At 44.9% G+C, this 21,601-nt stretch overlaps 1 annotated feature.

The window, feature by feature from the left end:
• Positions 20,561-21,098: an enhancer, noted in NCBI's record as "OCT4-NANOG hESC enhancer chr10:80561226-80561763 (GRCh37/hg19 assembly coordinates)". NCBI's record gives its function as "activates a minimal SCP1, AML or CMV promoter by ChIP-STARR-seq in naive H9 embryonic stem cells {active_cell/tissue: H9 hESC(naive)}" and the evidence as "EXISTENCE:reporter gene assay evidence [ECO:0000049][PMID:30033119]".

The following is a 21,601-nucleotide window of genomic DNA, read 5'->3' on the forward strand; positions in this document are numbered from 1 at the left end:
GGGCAAAGCCCTAGCTTTGAAGTCAGATGGGTGTAGGGCCCGAAGCTGGCCCTGCCAGCCACATGCAGGCAGCGAGGCATTATGCATTCCTGTTCCATGGTGAGGATAACAAGTATCTTTAGAGTTGTTGTAGGAATTAGGACCAAGAACAACTACAACAATAATAATAGCTCTCCCTTTTTGAGATCTGACCATGTGCAAGGCAGTATTCCAAACCCTGTGCATGCAGAGTTCTTCTGATCCTCCTAGCGGCCCTATGAGCCAGGTCCTGTGCTGGCAGGACCCCTGCATAGATGAGGAAACTGAGGCACGATAACAGTAAGGAGCTCATTGTGCTCACACAGCCAGCTGCTGGTGGAGCAGGGCTCCGACCCAGACCTCTCAGCGGCTGCCTGTGCTCTTATCCAATAAGGCGTGGGAAAACTCCTGCCTTGCAGTTGGTGATCAATAAATGTATCAATAACTCATCATTACTGCCCTTCCCGATGATGGAGCGCAGGCCCCCGCGAGGCCCAGGGCAGGAAGCACTGTGCTGCTGCACTCCTGGGAACCAGGTTCACATTGGCTGGGACCCCTGGAGACGACTGGGACACCACAGGCTCATTCCAGTGGCCACTGTGATGGCCCTCAGGAGGGCATGCTCTCCTCCACCCATGGCCTCTGCAACAGACACAGGCCTGAGGTTCCAGGTCTTGGGAGTTCCTGGCCGCTCTGAAGATCAGGGTCACAAGCAGGAATGGCCAGGTAGAAAAGCAGCCCAGAACTATTTTGCTCCTGAGGCTCCACCCCTCCTCTACTGGATGCTGCCAGCGGGGATTGTGCCACTGTCTAACTCTGCCTTCTGATGGTCTGTGTTCAAACATTTTATGGACAGGAAGCCATCCTGTGGAGCCTGTGGAGATGGGAATGGGGGTGGGGCCAGGGTGGGAGGTGTGCAAAGCCTTTTCTGTCCAGCCATCCCTTCCCAGGCTAGGAGAGAAAGGAAGCTTTCAGAACAAGTCAAAAGCGAACAGGGTCCAGGATGACCTTTTGGGTTCTTGTGTCAGCAGAAGGTGTCCCAGGACTTTCTCTCCTGTTCCCTTTGTCTCTGTATTTACAATGAAATGGAAGCATCTGGAAAGGAGAGAAAATGCCCTTTGATATGTGGGGTTCCCCCAGGTCCAGGAAGCTTTCGGCTGTGACAACAGACTCCATCCAAGGCCTTCCCAACCCTGGGGGTTTCTCCTAAATCCAGTGGCAAATAACTTTCCATCGTGCCCACCCACTGAACCGAAGGAGGAGGTGCACACCTCAATCACGCTTCACAGCCCCCTCGGCTAGCGCTGGCCTTTTACTGTTATCCACTGATTAATTTTCATTTAGTCATCTTATTTTCAAGCTTACATAAATGCATTTTAAAAGAACAGTTTATATCACTATCATAAAAGGAAAGCTAGTCTTTTTCTAAAACACTGAAATGACTATCTGTTATCTTGTGTGAAGTGGTTTCCAGTGTAGTCCAAATCACCCTGCTCACCACAGGGAATGCTGCTCCAGCTTGGCCCTCCCTGCCCACCCAGCCCATCCCTCTCAACGGTTTGCTGCCTCACCTTCAGGATGAGTACACCCACATCTTTAGGCCCCTCTGTCGCTTGCAGACCTGCTAATCCTGGGCCACAGCCTCCTCAAGTCCTCCACTCCACTGCTTCTCCTCGGAAATGCCTCCAGCACCAGCTGAGCTCAGCCGTGGAGGGTGCACCATTGGTTACCATGCGGGAGCCCTGTGGACAGCAAGGGCATGAGGGGAGCGGGAGGTAGTGCCTGGTCACCTGCTGCCACAGCCACATGCACAGCTTACCTCCATTCCTGGGACATAGTCAGGAGTTTGCCTTCTGCAAACTATTTCTCAAGAACCAAGTTTCACCCTTAGTTCCAACTCAAAAGTGCTCTTCCTAAAGCAACTGAAATGCCAGCTCCAGAATTATCTGTACCAACTAGATTCCTCCGTGGTGACCCTTGTCAAGTCTCATTATTTATTTCACAATAAGGGAGCAAATTCTCCTTGGTGGCTGTTTCCCCTTTACCCCTCTTTCCAATCCCCCTGTGGCTGGGGGGGTCTCCTGTCCTGCTGCATCATCTGCCATCTTTCCAATGCCACCGTGCATAGCAAGAGCACAATGTGCTGGTTGTTGTGTTCTGAATGTGCCTCCCGAAATTCAGATGTGGAAACTTAATTGCCATTGTGATGGTATTAAGAGGTGGGGCCTTTGGGAGGTGATGAAGTCATGATAGTCCTCATGAAGGGAACTGGTGCCTTTAGAAAGAGATGTGAGGGAGCTGTTCCCCTTTCCACATGTGAGAATGCAGCAATAGATGCCATCTTGGAAGCAGGGAGCAGCCCTTACCAGATGTCGCATCTATGAGCACCTTGGTCTTGGACTTCCCAGCCTCCAGAACCATGAGAAAAAATGTCTGCTGTTTATTAATTATTAATTACCCAGTCTCAGATTTTTTGTTAGAGTAGCACAAATGGACTAAAATGCTGATGAAATGCCTCAATGAATGAAGGTGCCCTCAGGTGAGCCCCCAGCCCTATGCTCTTCCCTCTCCCTGAAGGCATGCACAATTGGCCAAGTGACTGGTAATAATGACCTAACCTTAACTGAGCACCTACTGCATTCCAGGCACTGGGCTGGAGCTTTTCTCACAATTTCCCACAACAACCTGGCCAGCTGGGCTTTCAGAATGTTCCCATATTCCCCTCTACTTCCCACTGCCTCCAGGGCTCCCTCCTGGTGCAAGCCAACACCATCTCACCAGGCACAGCAACAGCCCCTTGAAGGATGTTCTTGCTCCCACTCCTGTCTCTCACCTCCTGTCTTTTCCCAACACAGAGGTCATGAGTTCCTGTTAAAATGTAAATGAGATCACATCTCTCTTTAAGATAACATGCTCTTTTGACTCCCTGTCTCACTCAGCACAAAAGCCAAGGTCCTGAGCAGGCCCCACCTGGCCTGCCCCAGCCTGCCCTGCCTCCAGCATCTCACACCTGTCTCTTCTCCTCTCCCACTGCTCTCTGCCTCACTCACTCCATCCCAGACCAGGGGCTTCCCTACTGTTCTGACACACCTGGCATATTTCCACCTGAGGACGTTGCACTTGCTGTTCTCTCTGCCTGGATCCCCAATCCCCTGGTAGACATGTCGCATGCTCCGTCACTTTCTCCTGGTCTGCCCAAATAGCACCTTCTTGGTGGATCCTTCCCTGGACATCTTACCTGAGATGACACCCCAACCCTACGTTTCATATTCCCCTACTCAGATGAAGTTTCCTTCATGGTATTTAGCATTTTCTAATATTAACTTGAATTCTAACTACTTTATTGTCCATCTTTCCCTACCATTCTTTCCTACCCCTGCCACCAACTTGCCCTTTTCTACTAAAATATTGACTTCCTGAATGTGTGGACTTTTGCCGGATTTGTTCTCTGGGGTAAACTTGAACATCGAGATTGGCTGAAGCCAGGGACTCAGGAACTATGGTGTATTTTATTATGAGCAGCCTGAGGTTCAGAGAAGTAATGGATTCTGCCCAGGTCACAAAGCTGGTAAGAGATGAAGCTGTTATAGACACCCTGGTCTATCTGTCTTCCATATCAAGCTCCCTCTAATACCCATGACAGTGGCTCTATCAACCACGGTGCTGTGTGTTTCAGTCCCTGTGCAAAGCAGGAGAAGCAGGAAAGACAGCTGCAGCCAGATTCCCCCAGGACTTGTTGGTCTCCCAGCATCACAAGTTTCCAGGACAAGAGGCCCCTTAGTGGAAGCAACTGACAAGGGCCAATAATTCAGTACCAGTGCTGGGAAAGTAAGTTTTTTTTTTTTTTTTTTGCTCGTTTTGTAAGAGAAGAAAAAAATGCCATTTGGCCTCAGAAAGATGTTCTTGCTGCCAAACACATGATTTTTGCACATGGTGAGGACGTGTGATTTTTACATATGTATTTTTTCCCTTTTAGTAAAAACAGTTTCATCCCTGGCAAGAAGGTGAAAGAAAGGGAGTATAAAAAGATTGCCATGGAAAACCATCACTTTGCCATTACAGAGACCAAAAGCCAAGAGTTTAGAATCTCCATAGATGGAAGGGAACAAAAAAAAAAGAGAGAGAAGGAGTGAGACAAAAGATCTCCAGCGTTTATGAAATAAGAACTAGATCTGGGGCTGACTCCCTTGTGTCCACTGTAGAGCACCCCATGTCTTCAAGAGTGTTTAGATGTCTCTCAACTCTGAGGTGGCAGAGGACGGGCAGCATCAGTGCAATCTTCCTACCGTGACCAGGGCAGACATTAGTAATCAATCACAGCATCCCTTCCTATTAAGCAGGGATGCAGCCTCAAGGCACTCCAGGAAACCCCTACCCATTGATTAGAGTTGGCAAGTAAGATGAAACAAGGTTGCTGTTCTGCCTTAATCAACCCTTACATTTTGCATGTGAAGTAATTGAGACACAGAGAGAAGCTGTGAGCTGGCAAAGGTTACACAGAACGTTTGCATAAATAAGTCCTTTTCCAGTTTTGCTGCTAGCTCTCAGGCCACGATTTGTTCCACTAGGCTCCCTGTCTGCCGAGTGTCTCCCAAATCTCTTCACGGATGTGAGAAGTTGTTGGGTTCCTGAACACCTAACAAGCAATGCAGAGAATTCTATCCGGAGCTTAGATTTTCTGCCTCTATGGACTTTTCCATCAGTGCCAGAGCTATGGGCCATGATCCTCTGCAGAATCACAGCAGGTCAAAATGGCCTCCCTAAAGGACACCAAAGCTCCCTCCCAGGACCATGGCCTTTCACGTGTTTATTATGGAAGTCACTCTTAAAAGGGAACAGCTAATAAACTGTGAAGGGTCAGCATTCCCACAGGAAATTGTCACCACTCTAGAGATGGTTCTTGTATATTTTTCCTCAGTTTAAGAATAAAATTTTCCATGAGATTAGCATTTCTAAAGTGTTTTCTGTGAAACACATTCTCAAGATGTCCTAGAAGATTTTTCACAAAGATAAGCAGAGCTAAAATACAAATAAAATAAAATAGAAAAGACGTGTGGCCAACGATCTTGGAACTCAGCACAGGATAGCTCTTCTGTGGAATCGTGCTGCATCTTAGAGTGTAAAAGGCCCTGAGAAGTCCTGCCTAAAGTTCTGGACTTTATAGTTTTCAGTATGCACGTGTCCACAGAAACATCTTTGCACATAGCGTTTACGAAGATTCTGCTGGATGTTCTTTCAAGAGCACTGGTTTCCATGCAGCACATTCAAGGGGGAAAGAATGCAGGAGTCCAGAGTCAGAAGAATTGAGTTTGAACCCTGGCTATGGATCTCTGACGTATTTATCTAAGGACTTTGTACTTCAGTTTCTACTGCCTAGAGTTAGTTTGGGTTTTTAAAATACGTTTATTGTTCAAGATAATATAAGTTTACTATAGATAATTCAGATAACATAAAAATGTATGCAAGAAAATTAAAATAGCTCATCATTTCATCATACGTCGATAACCATTGTTAATACTTTGATATATTCCTTCAAGTCTATTTAGTCTATTAAAAGGATCTGCAGGGACATACTTAAAAAATATTATTATAATCTGCATTGTTTTATATCCTACTGGTTTTTGCTTTTAATAATAGGGAAAAGGCCAGTCACGGTGGCTCACGCTTATAATCCCAGCACTTTGGGAGGCTGAGGCAGGTGGATCACTAGGTCAGGAGTTCAAGACCAGACTGGCCAACACAGTGAAATCCCATCTCTACTAAAAATACAAAAATTAGCTGGACGTGGTCGCGGGTGCCAGCAATCCCAGCTACTTGGGAGGCTGAGGCAGGAGAATCGCTTGAAGCCGGGAGGCGGAAGTTGCAGTGAGCCAAGATCGCGCCACTACACTCCAGCCTTGGCGACAGAGTGAGACTCCATCTCAAACAGAAAAAAAAATAGGGAAAAAAAAGTAAGTGACCAAAATATCCAACAAAGCTCCCTGAGGACATGAATTTAAGTGGTATCATGGGATTTCATTATTTGAATATTATCTGAAAGCTTTGGGGCCAGATATTTCAGAATTTAGAATTAATTAGGTTTTGAAAAGGTAAAAATCTGTTTTAAAAAAAGGATACATTAGGAAGCACCTGCAGTGGGACCTCAACAGTAGCCTAGAATCAAATACAGTATTTGGACAAGAAAATATTTGAATATTCTCACTAACTGAGATAAATGATGACTATTAAAAAGATTCCCTTCAGTTCAGTGTCAGATTTTTGCCACCAGTGAAATTGCAGCAAACCTAATGCAGATCTGTTAACTGTAATTGCATTGTGGATTCTGGAATCCTGCTTATCATGTTGTGGACTTGTACTGTGATTGCCAACCAAGCCAAACCTTCATTGTTGACTATTTGGACTGTTTCCAAATTTTTGTTATTATAATAAGTAGGGCTGCAAAGAGCATTCTTGTCCATGAAATTTTTGCACATCCGTGGTTGTTTCTTCAGGATGTATTCCTAGAAACTGGACTCCTGGGTCACAAAGAATTAATGTTTTTAAGATTTTTCGTCTATCTGCCAAAATGCTCTCCAGAAAAGCTGAGTAATTTATACTCCCAGCATTACTGCATGAAGGGGGGTTTCTCCTTCTCCATCCCAACCCCCTACTCCCAGAAACAGCAACACTGGGTATTATCAGTGTTTGATAAATGGATTCCAATTTGAAGAGCAAAAATTTTCATCTCTCTTTGAGTATTACTAGCAATATTCCACTTTTTTCATATGCTAACTGAATGATTATATTTCTTTTCTTAATGGTCTTTATATATTCCACACAAATCTTTTTATTGAGATGTTCATATTTTTCTTCTTGACTTACAAGAGCCTTTTGTGGATTAAATATATTAAAACACTTTGAATACCACATATGGGGTAATATTTTCCTAGTCATGTTATTTGACTTTTAATTTTTTATGGTGTTTTAATAGTTCCCCAAATTTTAAAAAAACTAAAATGTGGAATACATGTGGAATACAGAACACTTAGAAACGTATAAGAATGTCAAACAAAAGAGCTTGCCTGTCCACCCAGAGTAACTACACTATTTTAGTGTAGAATTTGCTAATATTTTCTGTTTCTTTCAAACAAGGGTTAGCCTGCTTTGCCTTCACTTATTCTTGTGAATAATTTTTTCATTTTAATAAATATTCTTCTATAACTCAAGTTTTATGACTTCACAGCATTCCATTGTATCCGACCATCATTTACCTAAATATTCTCTGGTTTTAGATGTTAAAGTTATTTCCAGTTTTCATCATTCCTTGGAATGCTGGGATGAAAAACATTGAACCAACATCCATTCTGTCTTCTCTAATTATTTCTTTATAATGAATTTCTATAACTTCTGGGACAAAGGGCAGGTGAATTTTACATTTTTAATATTTTTCTAGTAATTGATATTTATTAGGCTTTTTTTGAAATATAGAGTGATTTTTAAGAAAATAAGAATCATTTATAATTTTCCCATCCAGAAACGGCTCCTGTTGAAAGTGTTACACTTTTGTCTATACCTTTACATCTGTGAGTGGATGTTTGTACAAACAAAACAGAGTTGCATTTTATGCGCTGTCTTCTAAATTCAGTGTACGAATGTAATTTTCAACCAAGATACTTCTACTGGCCACATAATAGCACGTTGTTTGGATATACCTCCGTTTATTTAATCAATTGTTCATTCCAAGAAATTTTAGGGTTTTGTTTTCCAAACATTTGAAGTTATCTGCAATACTGTGGTGATCATTGTGATGTTCTTAATAATTTTCTCAAGATAAAGTCTTACACATAAAATTAGGGAGTCGATGATACGTAAATTTCTGAAGACTTTGATATACGCTGGTGGAGTACCCCATGGAGTCTGACCTACTTTACACTCCCTCCTGTGATATGTGACATTGCTTCCCAGAATCCTGACCAGTATAGTAAACTATCTTTTATTTAAAATATTCGGTGAAATGCTAGATCTTGTTGCTATTTTAATGTGTTCTTAATTATAAAACAGCAACATCGAACATTTTTTCATATGTTTACTTACCGTTTGTTTTTCTCTTCTGTTAATTACTTATTTCCATTTGTCTATTAGGAGTGTTTATCTTTTTTATTGTTTTGTAAGCTTTCTTTACAAATTAAGTTTATTAACATTTTATATGCCACATTTTTGGAAGTATTTTTTCCAGTCATACATTTGCTTTTTATGCGTGTAGTATGTAACAAAAATAACTGTGTATAGTCTGACCTATCAAATTTGTCTTTATAATATCTTCTCTCAACATCTTCCTTAAAAAGACCCTTTCCAGTCCCATATTTTATGTAGCAGACTGACCTACATTTTTTTCTAGTGCCTTTGTGACTTTATTTTTATATACGTCTTAAATTCACCAGGAATTTATTTTAGCTTATGACTGAGCTAAGGATTGGAGTTAATTTTTTCCAACATCATTTATTGAATAATCCATCCTTTCCACAAGGACTTGAAATGTCACCATTATCACATACTAAATATTTATACATACTCCAGTCTGTTTCTGGGCTTGCAGCTCTGTCCCATCAATCTCTCTGTCTATTCCAGGGCTGAGAGGAGAGGGGTTTCTGGGGTAGAACAGGCAGGACTTGATAACTGATTAGACATGGGGGGAGTTGAAGATGACTTCAAGGTTTGCGACTGAAACCTGGATGGATGTGACACCATTAATCAAGGAAATGGAGGCAAGGAAGGGTTCGTGATACCCTAAGTCTCTTCTCACTTCAATCCATCACTCACATTTCAGGCAGAATAAAATTTTTAATACATATTTATTTAATTTATTGGAAAAGTAATGCATGCACATGTTTAAAAAGATTCAATTCATATAAAAGGTTTCCAATGAAAAGTAAGTCTCCTCCAGAACATGTACTCCTAATTCCCCTCCATAGAAGCAAACACTGTTAATAATTTTTTGTGTGCCTATATAGAAATAACAATTTCTGTAGAAATTGCTTCCCAGAACCCTGGCCAATATAGGAAACTATCTTTATTTAAAATATTTGGTGAAATGTGAGATCTTGTTGCTATTTTAATGTGTTCTTAATTGAAATGTGTTCTTAATTTCTATAGAAAGCAACATTAGGTACATACAAGCACAGATAGATAACTAGCTAGCTAGATAGATAGATAGCTAGCTAGCTAGATAGATAGATAGCTAGCTAGCTAGATAGATAGATAGCTAGATAGATAGATAGATAGATAGATAGATAGATAGATAGATAGATAGATAGACAGACAGATAGATAGACATCTTTATGCAGGCATATTCACACACATCTTTCAAACAAATTGGACCATACTACAAACACTACACAGCACCCTGATTATTTTCAACTCAATGATTTATCTTATAAATGATTCTATATGAACACATGGACACAGGGAGGGGAACAACACACACTGAGGCCAGTCAGCGGGAGGGGGTGAGGGTGTGGGGGCAGAAAGATTATCAGGATAAATAGCTAATGCATGCAGGGCTTAACATCTAGGTGATGGGTTAATAGGTGCAGCAAACCACCATGGCACACGTTTACCTGTGTAACAAACCTGCACGTCTTGCACATGTATCCCAGAACTTAAAATAAAATAAAATATTTTAAAAAGAAATGATTCTATATGAACACAGATAGATCCACCTCCTTGTTTTTAATGGCCGTTTGAAGTTCCACTGAGTAGTACACCATTATTTTTTACTAACTTTCCATAGGGGGACACTTTGGGAGTTTCTCCCAATTAACTTTTGTTTTTTAAAGATGGTGTCTTGTTATGTTGTCCAGGTTAGATTTGAAATCCTAGGCTCAAGGGACCCTCCTGCCTCAGCCTCCCATGTAGCTGGGACTATAAGCATGTGCCACCACACATAGCTTAATTACCTTTTCTTTAATTAAAAAAAAAAAAAAAAAAAAAAACAGAGTCTCTACCAAAAATACAAACATTAGCTGGGCGCAGTGGTGCGTGCCTGTAGTCCCAGCTACTTGGGAGGCTGAGGCAGGAGAATGGCGTGAACCCGGGAGGCAGAGATATCCCTGTAGTGAGCCGAGATCGCACCACTGCACTCCAGCCTGGGCAACAGACCGAGACTCCATCTCAAAAAAAAAAAAAAAAACAAACAAACAAAAAAAAAAAACAGAGTCGACCATGTTTCCCCTCTGTTTGAAATTTTTCCTGGCTTCGGAGTTTGAGACCAGCCTGAACAACATAGTGAAACCCCATCTCTACTAAAAATACAAAAAATTAGCTGGGCGTGGTGGCATCACTTGTAATCCAAGCTACTTGGGAGGCTGAGGCAGGAGAATCACTTGAACCCGGGAAGCGGAGGTTGCACTGAGCTGAGATCGTGCCACTGCACTCCATCCTGGGTGACAGTGCAAGACTCTGTCTCAGCCCTCTGACTCACTGCCTTAAACTCCCCGCACATCTTTCCACACCCCTCTCAGACCCTGTGGCCTCTTAAAAAGCAGGTCCTATTCACTTAAAACTGCTCTTCTTTGTCCACTGAGGAACTCCTATTTTTCTTTCAAAACTCTGCTTAGTGGTGACCTCCTCTGTAATGCCTTCCCTTAATCCCCCTCACCTCCCTGAACATATGCAGTGTGGGGGTGTGTGCACACACATATACATGCATTACACACATACACACACATTATCACACATCTTACACTCACGTACATACAGTTATTCACTGCATATGACATTTCGATCAATGACAAATGGCATATATGACGGTAATCCCATAAGATTATAATGTCGTATTGTAACTGTATCTTTTCTGTTTAGATACACAAATACTTACCGTTGTGTTACAATTGCCTACAGTAGCCAGTGCAGTAACATCCTGTACAGGTTGGTAGCCAAGGAGCAATAGGCTCTACTATATAGCCTAGGTGTGCAATAAGCTGTACCATCTAGGTCTGTGTAAGCACAGTCTGTGGTGTTTATACAGTGATGAAATAGCCTAATGACAAATTTCTCAGTATATATCCCTGTCATTAAGTGACACTCCACTGTAAACACATACACAAGCATACACACGCAAACATACACATATACGCAGCCAGAACAAATGAGTTACTTCATCCTCAGCACTCCAGGGGCATGTTGTTCATACCCCTGAGGGCCCTGAACCTTACCCCCTTCTAATTACTATTCATTCTTACCACTTTAGCTCAACAGGTGTCTCCTCTAGGTGATTTTTCTTGAGCCTTCAGATAGAACCAACCACTCCACCCCTCACCTCACTATCCCACACCTATCTTGGGACGCTAGGACTCCACTTCTATTATTTTCATGGCTTTTTTTCTTTCCTGGAGAGTAAAACTCATAAACTCTATGAGAGCAGGCATTATCTCCTGGGTCGCTGCATTTCCCAGAGTCTGACGCTGTATCCGATGGACATCAGGTGCTTGGCTGGAAAGAAACTCAGCTGGGACAGAGCAGGGTGGCCGTCCTGTTGTTTCTGGCAGTGCCCATTCTGACTGATCAGTGCTCTACCCTGTTTTATATGCCAACACCATTGTGGAATGTCACCACGGTACTCAGTAAGTGTTGATTGAACTGTCATCATTACTTACATGTCTATAACTCATTAGACTGCCTCTGTCTCAAAGTTGGAATCTATCATACTAATTTTTGATTCCCCAGGACCTAGGTAAGAGCCGAACATGTAGTAGATACTCAGTAAATGCCTGCTGAAAGAATTGAGCAGATGAGTGCAGAAAGCAACAAATTTGCTTTGGAGCCCGTGGTAGCACCCCGGCATGGGTTCCCACCCCTTCAGTTATGGGCCTCCACCTTTAGGATCAGGACAAAATGCCTTCACATGGCCACAAAGCCCTGCACTGTGTGGCTGCTGTCTGTCTGTATTAGTTATAATCATCGGTGAGTGGCAGAAGCCCCCAAGCTACTGTAACTTAAATATGAGAGAAGTGTGTTTCTCTCTCTTGAACACAAAGAGATCAATGGCTGGGGGCAGACCATGCAGGTCCGTGGTCATCAGAGACCCTGACTGCTTCCTTTCTGTCATTCTGCACCCCCTCATCCAGGATCCTGCCTGTGGTTCAAAATGGCAGCTCCAGCTTAGAAAAGCTGTTGGAGTTCCACCGGGTAGGAAGGACAAATGGACAGAGAAGGCTGTGCCCTTCCCCTTAAGAACATTTCCCAAAAGTTGAACAGAGCACTCACATCCTGTTGGCCAAACTTAGTTACATGCCCTTGTCTAGCTGCAAGGGAGGCTGGGAAATATAGTCTCTATTCAGGCAGCCTTGGGCCCAGTAAAAATAAAAGTTTCTCTAGTAAGAAATTAAAAGGTGGGCCGGGCACGGTGGCTCACACACATAATCCTAGCACTTTGGGAAGGTGAGATGGGTGAATCACCTGAGGTCAGGAGTTCTAGACCAGCCTGGCCAACATGGAAAAACCCAGTTGCTACTAAAAATACAAAAGTTACCCAGGCATGGTGGCACATGTCTGTAATCCCAGCTACTGGGGAGGCTAAGGCACGAGAATTACTTGAACCTGGGAGGCAGAGGTTACAGTGAGCCAAGATCTCATGCCACTGCACTGCAGCCTGGGTGACAGAGTGAGAATCTGTCTCAAAAAAAAGAAAAAGAAAAAAGAAATTAAAAGGAGGCTAGATGTTGAGGGGCAAAGAGTAGACTTTTCCACACTCCCTCTCCACCCTGATCACACGCAGCTTGCCCCCTTCTGTTCCTCCCCTACTCCTCCTCTACCCGCCACCTTCTTCCTGCCACACTCACTGCTGATATGAGCTGCTTGGTCATACTGGTACCTCTCTCAGGAATGCTGGCCCTCCCTCTTTCCCTAATTCACTCCTCATTCTCCATCAGAACTAAGCTTCACCTCCACCTTCCATAAGAAATACCCTTGCTAAGTCAAAGAACCCATGATTAGATCTCAAAGAATCATATGTCTTTCCTTTAAAACACTTGTGAAAATCTCAAGTTTATATGCATTTGCAAGATTATTGTATTAATATCTGGCTTCATCGTTAGATGAATAACCCCACAGGAAAAGAACACGTCCACATTTGTTTACTGTTTTGTCTCTAGTGCCAAGCATAAGCTCTTGTCAAAAGTAGGTTCTCAATAAATAAGTGTAGAGTGAGTTGATCAATTAATGATGCATATGTGATGCAGTTTCAGATACAGCTCTAAAGCTAGGGCAAGATACTAGTAGCTACCTGCACAGAACTGAATGAAATTGTGGAAGTAGTTACAAATCCCCAAAGAAGAAGAGACAGAGAGAGAAGAGAACAAATACAGTTTATATTTGTGGCAGAGATGCATGAGGCAGGAAAATAATCCAGAGAATAGAAGAGGGGAAGAAAGCAGACATTTGCTGAGCCCTGTGCTGGGCTCGGTATGAGAATGATCTCGTTACCCTTGGCAATAGCCCTGAGCCCCAGCTCTTGGTGCCCTGAGGAGATGGACAGCCCATGCCTCAGTTAAAGGATTGTACAATTTGTTCAGGAGAGATCAGGGATGCCTGACCCTAAGTCCATGCCTTTCGATGGGTAAGGCTATAGGAGAATGTGATCCAGAGGAAAGAGAAGAGGATTAGAAGAGGACAGAGTTCAAGAAACTAAGGCTATGGAGTCCTAAAGCTCAGGAAGAACCAGAGGGACCGCAAGCCGAGAAGCACCCTTGACTCTGCCCATTAGAGGCCACTGTGGCTGAGCAAGCCCAGGAGAGGTGAGGGCAAGTCCCGACAGCAAGTGACAAGCACCTTTGAAGCCTATGTCTCCGGGGTCTGTATCTTCTTTAAGAATTTGTGAGTTAAAAAATAACAGACAAGGATGAGGCCTGGGCCCTAAGGAGAGGGTAGACAATGCCATCGAGAAACCCCCAAATCTCAGCGGTGTAACCCAACAGAGCTGCACCTGGCTCCTGTCATTGTGTGAGGAAGGCCTGGCAGTGGTTGTGCATGGTCCTTCCACAAGTGGTGACTTGGGGACCCAGGCTACTCCCACCTGGCAGTCCTGCATCTCAGACACCTTGACCTCTAGCTCCACAGAAAGGGGGAAACATGGAGAAGGACCACCTGCTCATCATTGCCTTGGACAGGAAGTAGCATCTCACTCCTGCTAAATTTCCATGGCAAGCTTTAGGCGTCTGACCACTGCTAGGGCTGTGAGCACTGAAAACGTGCTCTAATCCAGTGCTCTGGACAAAGAAATAGCTTCGTGAATGCACAGCACTGTCTCTGCCTCACACAGCTTCCTAGGCTGTAGGAGGACTTGGCTCATTTTCAGCTAGAGGCAAAGAAACTAGCAGAGAGGGTTGGCAAAGACTCTGGCTAGAAGAGAAGATGGTCCCTCTGGGAGAGGAGGAAGGGGGAGCTGCACCAGGCCCATCTAAGGGGCTTGCTTGCTCTCCTTTTCTCTTTAACATCGTGGAGGTTGAGGTCTCAGGTCCTGGGGCCAGACTGCCCAGCCAAAAATCCCCCTTACCAGCACTTCCAAGCCAAGTGGCCTTGAGCAAGCTACTTAACCTCTCTGTGCCTCAGCTATATCATCTGTAAGATGGGGATGGTACTGCAGCCTGTACCATAGTCGTGTGGATTAAGTCCATTTATTTATACAGTAGTGCAGAGAGTATCTAACAACTGCCAACTGTCAATATAACACATGCATGTGTAAAAATACTCAAAGCACTTGTGAAGATACACAAACAAGAGTGAGTAACCCCCCAATCCCTCTCTTCCTTCTCAGAGATGGCCATCATCACAGTTTCTTATATATCCTTCTCAAGTATTCTATACCCATATAAGCAGTTATTTGTAATATATGTGCATAGATGCTTTTACACAAATGGATGAACACAACACAAAATGCTCTGCAACTACTGTTTCCCACCAGATGCCGTTCATAATCACCCACCGAAATGCTTGGCTAACATTTCATGCACACACGCACAAGATTTATGTAAACAATCCCCTCCTATTGAGTATGGGGTAGTTTTCAGCTTTTTAATGCTATTAATAATATAAACAATGTTACAGTGAACATCCCGGTATCCATATCTTTGAGCACCTGTGAAATCCTGTCTTCTAGAGGTGGAACCATTGAGTTCAAAAGTAAACGTGTTTTAATTCATAAACCCATTCTCCCAAATTGTCCTCCCTGAAGTGGCACCTTCTTCGCTTCTCCCACCAGCTCTGGATGAGGGCACTGGTTTCCCATGTGATAGATGTCTGTTTAGCGAGGAAGCAGGGCTGTTTCCTACATTTGGCACCATAGAGTCTATGCACATCTTTGAGACATGGAAACACACACACATGCTCCAAATTAGAAAAGAATACCACAAACTCAAAAATGAATAAATATTTAATTAAATGGCTCCCAAATAGGAAGGTGGTTTTGTAATGAGACAAAGAGCAGAGGCCGTGATAGGCAGGGGCTGCCCTGCTCTCCTCTCCTTCCTGCTCCCACATCGTATGACCTGGGCAAGGGCTGAGCTTAAGTGAGCCTGGACTGCCACCCCTGTGAGATGGAAATACAGACAAGTCCAACAGTGTGGGCTGTTGCAACGATTAAAGGAAATCAGGTATACACATAAAGGACCCAGGATCATGCCTCACACACGCAAAATCCCCAGTAAATTTTACCTAGTCATTAGTATGTCAAAAGGGCACCACAAGTCAAGTCTAACATAGTTATTTATAAATTGTATACTTACAGTGAGATGCAGGTGCAATGTCATATTCCAATATGATGAGGGGCAAGTCCTCCAACAGCAGGAGTGCTTGGGCCCTGCGATAGCTATGTGAGCCAGTGAGGGAATAAACAAGCCAGCAGTGATGGACAGAAGGAGGTGACCTGGGCAAAGCGAGAGGACTCCTTCCTTGTGGCTCCTGCTGAACGCAGAGAGACCTCAGCTACCTTCTCATTTAGAAGAAGGGCAGGAGACAAAAGAGCAAGGGGTTAGCAGCGAGGCTCCCGCTGCAGGAGACGTAGTCGTGAGGAGCCCGAGGGAATGGCTGGTGCCTCCAACAAGGCCGACTCCCACAGGAGAAAGTCAGCGCATTTTCCATTCTCTATCAGTGTGTCTGTAACTACATATTACCAGTGTATAATTTATTTATTTTTCATATCTACTGTTCAATATTTGTCTCCCCCTCTGAAATGTAAGCTCCCATAGGGCAGGGATTTTTGTCTGTTTTATTCACTCACTGTGGGGACTTCTATTCACTGGTTTGTCTGATATGCTTAGGAGTGCCTGGCACATGGAAGACTCTCAATAAATATTTGCTAAATATGATGAATGAAATAGAAAGTTTCACTCAGGAGCTAATACATTTTTAACACATCTCTAAAGCTTGCTTATCTCCTTTGTGAACGAAGAGGCAGAGGAGCTCTCAGGCTCAGAATCTTCCGCGGCAATAATTTAATAAACTTGCTTGGGTTTCATTATATTTTTTGTGGTCATCTTTTGTGGTGGTCACTGGGGCTGTTTATGAATATTCGGATTCCCCTCTCCTGCCAGGCTAGGATGATGGCACCTACAGCCCACTTTGAATTTACTCAGGCCAGGTGACTTGCTTTGGCCAGTGGCATGTGAGCAGAGATGACATGTGTCCCCCTGGGCAGGTGTCTCTAAGAGCCAGTACATGGAAACAGGTACCAGATGGGGATGGCCTCATTCTACATCCTTGGGTGACTCTGGGGAGCAGGGCTCTCTTGCTGACCACCTTTGCATATGTACCATGAGAAAAAAAATGCCTCGTTGCAATCAGTTACCGAGTTTGAGATCACTTGTCATGGCACAACCCAGCCTGTCCTGTGTTATATTAATTTCACAGAAAGATGGGAGTTGCCAGTGGGGTGACAGATAGCACATGGAACAAGTGAGGGACCTGCTGAGACAGAAATGAAAGTCCTGGACTCCTGTTCCCTCCATGGGCAGCTCCTACAGGTTGTCCTTCCTGTCTCTTCAGACACCCCTGCAGGGCTCTGGACATTGGACACCATGTGAAGTTATAGAAAAGATGGGAGCCAATGTGGCCAGGGCTTCTCCCAACAGAGGCCAGAGGAGGTCGAGCTGAGGATGGAAAGATGGAAGAGACTTCTAAGGGCAGGGACCTTGGAGTAGCCATCTCTGTAACCCTAAGTGTCTAACACAGAGCCCTGCCCATATAGAAATGTTTCATGGATAAATGAATTAATTTTAAGCAAAGAAGCTTAATGTAACAATGCTTCTTGAGGCTCTGAAGATGGACAAACGGGCTCAAAACCTGGCTCCACAACCTATCTCCTGTGTGACCTTGAACAAGGCCTTTAAGAAATTGGAGATTCAATCTCCTGAAAAACGGCGATAGTGATATCTATTTATAAAGTTGTTGTGAGGGTTAAATGAAGTAATGACTGCATAGTGCTTCACTTAATGTCTGCAGGTAGCAAACCCCAGAGGAGGGTTAGGAGCTAGGAGCACGGGCTTTGGAGCCAGACTTGGGTTTTTGTCCCAATCTGACAGTGACCTCAGGCAACTTACTTTTTCTTTGAAGTTCCTTCATTGCCAAATGGAGATAGTGCTATCTGATTCACAGGCTGATTACGGGCATTAAATGAGATGGCACAAAGCACCTAGACAGTACAGGCAGTTGAAAGTCCCCTCCCTCCTTCCTATATTCCAGAACAACGAGGGTGCGAGCTCAGAACTAGGATCATGAAACCCCCTCTGGGTCCTGTTTCTGGTTCTCATCTCTCCAAAGCAGCAGCTTGTCTTGATAAATGAAGCCATGCAGGAGAGTTAATGGGGGATAGTGGGTTAATTTGTTACCTCCCTTAGGGTCAAATTTAGAGTTGAACCTAGTAGTCCTCTAATGGCTCTGTTCTGTCAAGAGGAAGACATGGGTGGGCAGAATGGGGTACTTAATGGTGAGATCATGCTTCTTTCTTCTTTGTGTTGACCTTCAATGCAGCTGTCCTAGGCACGTTGATGCTTGCAGCCAGACAGCAAGCTCAAGGCCAGAGATTTCAGAGCAGGCATGGAAGACTCTTAATCAAAATAACACACCTTCTGCTTCTGCTCCCAGATCATAGACCCATCCTCTTACTAATAGATCATCCACAAGTGGATATCAGTCTGATATCCAGATGTCCTGTTTCTCTACATCTGAAAGCAGATCTCTTTTCCATTAACATTTATTGAGCACCTACTATATACTGATGCTTGGCACTTTGCCAAACACCATGTCATTTAGTCCTTTCAGAGACTTTGTGAGTCATACACCATTAACCTCATTTCCCAAACAAAGGAGTTTTGGAGATGATAATCAAATTGCCCCAAATCACAGGGAAGATGATGTAAGTTCTACTCCAGACTCCAAATCCAGTTCTCCTTCTACCTTTTCTTTCCTCTGCCTTTCTGATTGTTCAGGAGGTAAGGAAGATCTGCAAGGATGGCAAGTTCAATGCTCTGTGAGGGCAGGCTTACCGTTGTGGATCAGGTGCTTCTGACAGTCTGACGCCTGATGTCCACCGCAGGGAGGGTGGTGTCACTAGAGGGTCACGTTAGCTACCCTACCTGAACTGGCCACGTTGAGAGATTTGAGAGTTACTCAGCAAAGCTGAATCATCATGGCATGAGAGCTCTTCTTCAAGAAAGAAAATACCTGTCGCCCTTGACAGGTGCAGGTGACACCTCAGAAAGTGGTATTATCAAGCCCTAGAGCCCCACCCTACAATTTCAGGGAACATCAGCAGTTTCCCTGTGTTACCAGGTAGGCTGCTAGGCAAGGTGCTGTTCACCCATGCTTGGCTCTGAGTGGCTTAAGTGCAGCTTTGTATCTCTGATCTCTCTTTGAAGGACACAGGGAGGGTTCCACGAACATCCAGGATGAGGGGGGTTGGGAAGGGGGTTCAAGTCACCGTTTGCCGTGGTTGCCCTGCCTCCTCCTCTCCTCCTGGGTGCTATGCCCCCATCTGGGCCCTGGCAGCTCTCCTGGAAGGTGGTAGCCATACTCCTAGCTCCTCTCCTAGCCTTTTGTCTTCTCACTCTCCCCTGCAAAGTTAGAGGATTCAGAGCCATGCAAAGCAGGACATTTTGGATGAAAGGAACTGGAGACATTTGACCTGCAAAAGAGAAGACTTGGGGACATAACATTGCTCTCCAATCTCTGACAAATGGCAGACTGGCTCTGCACAGCCCCGGAAGGCAGCACCAGTGCCGATGGCCAAGTTTCAGGGATGCGGCAGAGGATGTGCCAGAATAAGAGAGGAGTTTCAAGCCTTCCTGCTGCTCGGAGACTACTCCATTGCAATTGGCTTCCTTCTTACTGTGCAAATCCCCCAGCACAGGGATGGCAGCAGGTTTCCTACTCAACTCAGCAACTCGGAGGGCTAGAGGGTGGCATTAGGGAGGACTGAGGCTATATCCAGGTTTCAAGGGAAGGGGTACCAGGATTTGTTCTCAGGGGCTGGGGAAATGAGGGGACTGGCCCTGAACTTGCTGTTTATGGCTTGGCACTACTCTTTACACTGATGGATTCTCAAAAATGGTTTGTGAAGTGGAATAGAATTGCCTTGGAGGTGTTGAGTTCCTCTCCACCACACCAGTGTTCCAGTACAAACCACCAAGGCTCTGAGACACTGTCCTGCAGGTGGATTCCAGGAGCAAACTGGTAGCCTGCAGGCAGTCCGCTGATATGTTCTCTAGCCATGCCAGAGCATATAAATCCCTCGTGTGTACAAATGACTGTGCTATCATCCATCTGGAGAGGAGATTCACATGCTCACTGATAGAATCTGCATGCAGTTTATTAATGCCAATGAGTTTCAGGTATGCATAGTACTGCGTGCCTTTAAACTAGGCCAGTACAACCAAGAGCTAGGACTTCAGCATCTAGCTGACCTGGTTTAAGGTCCCAGTTTTGCCATTTTCTTGAGGTGGTTCCCCTTGTCACCCTCAAGATTCTCATCTGGAAACAGGGCCCAGTGAGAGAACCTTCCTTACAGGCTGATGTGAGAGATACGAGTAAATCACTTTGCCCAGTGCCTGGTCTGTGGGTAATGTCCCATAAATGGCCACTATTCTAATTCATATAGTTTTAATAAAATATGGGCCCCTGGGCGGCGGCCTGAGCGAAAGGATGGTAATGCTTGTAATCAGCATGTCAGCAATGTCTATGCACGTGGCCACCCACTGAAGAGTTCAAAATCACCTATTTCACAAAGCCACCAATGCATCCATCCTTCCCACGAACGCACTCACACTATCTGGGGGAAGAAACTCTTCTTCAGAGGGGAGACAGAATGGCCACCTTCTGATTATCTGCTATGGGGCAGGCACTCTCACTTCCAGCCTCTGAGTTAATCCTCTCCAGGAGCTTAAGAGAGGGGTATTCTCACCTCCGTTTCACTTGTGAGGACTCAGCACATCTTCTAAGGTTCCAGAGCAGGCAAGGGGGCATCTCTGGGATTCAAATGCCGCCCCACTAGACTCCCAAGCTAAATAATTTCCCAATAGCCACAGCTGCTTCTAGAGAGAGCCAAGGTGCCCTTGAGTCCTGATTGTGCTCAAATCATCCCAGATTCTTAATCCAAGACCAGAATCCAGGGATATCCCTCATTGGTCTGAGTTCTGAAGGTGAGGCTGGTGGTGGTCCCCATCCACTTGGCAGTCTTGCTTGTGGAATGCCAGAGCTGCTGGGAGTGGGGGAGTGGGAAGGCAGCTTTGAAGTCTTCCCTCATGCTGAGCTGCAGAAAGCTGGCTTGTTGTCTTATGCAGAGAGCAGTTGAGGATATCAAAGGGAAGATGGGATGTTAAATTTTGAGTGATCAATGTTTAATAGTCTGGGTTGTAAACTGTCATGAGGATGCTCTAGGAGGGGAGCTGTGTGAATTGCAGGGTTTGCCATGTGATGGCTGGAGAGGATCAACCCTCTGGAGGTGCCACGCATCAGCAGGGAGGACAAATGGAGAGTGACGGAGGGTGGATCCACACCCACCAACTGGCCACTCACTGTGGGGACTTGAAGAAAGCATGGACACAATTAGGAAAGAAAGGGTGAGGACATGACCTCCTCTGCCCCAGGAGTGATCCTCCATGCACTGGTTCATCCTTTCAGCCGGATGCTTTAAGTGTAACCCCGTGCCCAAACCAGCTAGGTCAGGGGCAGGGCGGTCCCCAGGGGCCAAAAGAACCTGAGCACTTGCCAGTGAACATCTGTTTGGTTGTTTACTAAAACTTATCTGGAAAATTCCAGCCTTGCCACAACAAGGCATGGAGGGGAAAGGTAGGAGGCAGTGTGGGTCCAAGGGGAGGGTGATGCTGGGATGGACTGGGACCTGGAGAGGTGGCACTGGTGTCCCTCTCTTTTCTGGATGTCCTAACATCCAGTGGGCTCTGCCGTTTACTCAGAAAGGAGGAGAAGGGAGGAGAAGGTGGGGAGGTGAAGCCCCTTGCCTGTGATCACCCGGCTGCAGCAGATCAGGTCTTCTCAGGGCCAGGCACTCTGTCCCTACCCTTGCAGGCTGCCTCTGCAGCAGAGAATGCAAGATTGT

This window comes from Homo sapiens, chromosome 10 (genome assembly GCF_000001405.40).
Source record: "Homo sapiens chromosome 10, GRCh38.p14 Primary Assembly".
Classification (NCBI taxonomy): domain Eukaryota; kingdom Metazoa; phylum Chordata; class Mammalia; order Primates; family Hominidae; genus Homo; species Homo sapiens.